The sequence below is a fragment of the Homo sapiens genome, chromosome 13 (assembly GCF_000001405.40).
Source record: "Homo sapiens chromosome 13, GRCh38.p14 Primary Assembly".
In the NCBI taxonomy this organism is placed as follows: domain Eukaryota; kingdom Metazoa; phylum Chordata; class Mammalia; order Primates; family Hominidae; genus Homo; species Homo sapiens.
The window spans coordinates 111,531,686-111,533,815 of NC_000013.11; the positions used below are offsets into that span (position 1 = coordinate 111,531,686).

Consider the following 2,130-nt stretch of genomic DNA (forward strand, 5'->3'; position numbering starts at 1 on the left):
TGGACTTAGTTGCATTTCTAGCTTTTGCAAATAGATGGCACTTTTGACTTACCCTAGAATATTGCTGATCAGACCGTAGCACAAGAAAAATACTTAAAATGGTCTGTGTGTCTAAGTCAGAAATGTGTTAGTTACTATTCACATGAAGGCCAGAAATTAAAATTAAGCCTCTCGGGAGACAGAGTATCGCATCTCTCTCTTAAATGCTAAAACCTTAAACACACACAACCAGCCCAAGTATAAAATGTGTGCATTTTATGTAATGTTTTAAAAAATGTTTATTGTACAGCATTGCAGGCTTTGATCTGGAAGAGCAAAAGAAAATGGTGTAAAGAAAGTTTTATTTGGAAATAGGATCGCATGGGTCTGTGTGTGTTTTTAGTATCTGTACTTTGCTGTGAAAAGCCCTTGCGAATATATTTTCCTCCCCCTTTTCTCTCTTCAGCACACACGCGTACAGCCATGCACACGCACACACGTGCACAGAGGAGGCACTTGGACCCTCACGCACACAGAGGGGAAAAAAATCAGGCTGTTGTCTTGCAAGTGTTACTTACCATATTAATTAAAATCTGGTGACATGATAACACCACCAGCTGTGTGGGAAAGCGAGGGAAATTAACAAACGTTTGATTTGTTGTGTTGCTAATGTGACACTTATTATACAGGTCATAGTAAAACAATACCTCAGCCCAAATATGCTAATGCAGCAGTGAACTGTTGCCGTTGTAGAAACATTGGCGTTTATTATAATCAGGCAGAATAGCACATTACCTTCAAGAGAAGGTATGATCTTTGAATCTAATAACATAAATAAATTTTTAACCATTCAGTCATTAGAAATAAAAAATGCAGGAAAAAACTTTTCCTGTGTAATTTTGAAAATGGAATATGAAAACAGAACTTATTTAAATTAATCTGGGCTCAAGGAAAATATATTTGTTGTTTAGTTTTTAAAGTTTTGCTATGATAAGAAACTGAATTATATAGAATATTAGCATATTGAATATGCTGTTGTGTGTTTTATCATCAAATAGTCAAATTTATAAAGATCAGAATAGTTTAAAATCAGGTTATATGTAAGAAGAAATTGTCATATTCATTTATTCATCCTGGAGGTTATAATGCTTCTACTATGAGTCAAAGTCTAAATTATTTTCAAAACAGTATAAACAAAATAGTCTAATATGAAAGGAACTTGTCACACATCCCCTTCCTCCTCACTCTGCTTCGTTCTCCCAAAGTCTGCAAAGAAGAAGCAACTGCACACTTTCTCAAAACACTTAGCAAACTTTTCCCCACTGTTCTCTGAGGCAGCTGTCAGAATCTGGGTCTACATGTCCAGGAGGCAAAAGAAAATGCAAGATGCTCCCATTTGCTATAATTTATGTCATGAATTTCGTGGAGATCATATTCAGCACTTGGCATCTGCACACTCACAAAAACATAGGATTTTTACCTTCCCACAGGGTCCTTCCTTGCAGTGGCTTTTCATTATGGGGCCACATTCTCTCCAGCCTAGATGAGATTTCTTTCTCCCTTCCTTGCTTCTCTTTCGGTGTTTTGATCAGGCTGCTGAAATGGGGTGTATGAAATCAAGCATTTGTTTGACAGTTTTTGACAGTGGATTATGTAGATTGTGCCTGAGAGAACAGGAGTCATTCAGAACTGAATTTGGAGCAAGCTGTCTAGATCAAAGGTCAGATGGTGCGGGGTCAATGGGGCAGAGACTTCACCCTCTTAAGTGGGAGACCGTGTGCAAAAAGATATGAGCATTGGAAGATGGGCATCCAGGGAAGGCTACAGGAAGGCGAGTCAATCCCATGGCATCAACAGCCCAGGTCCGTGAAGTTCCTCTGAACCTTGGTTCCTTTATACCAAGAAAACTCACTTGCCTCTGGGGCTCTGCCCTGCAGAAATGTGAATCCACTCCTGAAGTCAGGCCCAGGAACACGGGAGACCGTCCCCCTTCACCTGTGAGCTCATCTGCAATTGCCACAGCCGCCTTCAGGCCTCAAATGTGATGAAATGCAATTTCTTTCTTTCTTTTTTTTTTTTTTTAAGACTTTAAGTTCTAGGGTACATGTGCACTTCTAACTTGGATTGCTGCATGTTCTGTTGGCAGAGGAA

The 2,130-nt window shown here is 39.2% G+C and overlaps 1 annotated feature.

The window, feature by feature from the left end:
* Positions 290–984: an enhancer, noted in NCBI's record as "OCT4-NANOG hESC enhancer chr13:112184322-112185016 (GRCh37/hg19 assembly coordinates)". NCBI's record gives its function as "activates a minimal SCP1, AML or CMV promoter by ChIP-STARR-seq in naive H9 embryonic stem cells {active_cell/tissue: H9 hESC(naive)}" and the evidence as "EXISTENCE:reporter gene assay evidence [ECO:0000049][PMID:30033119]".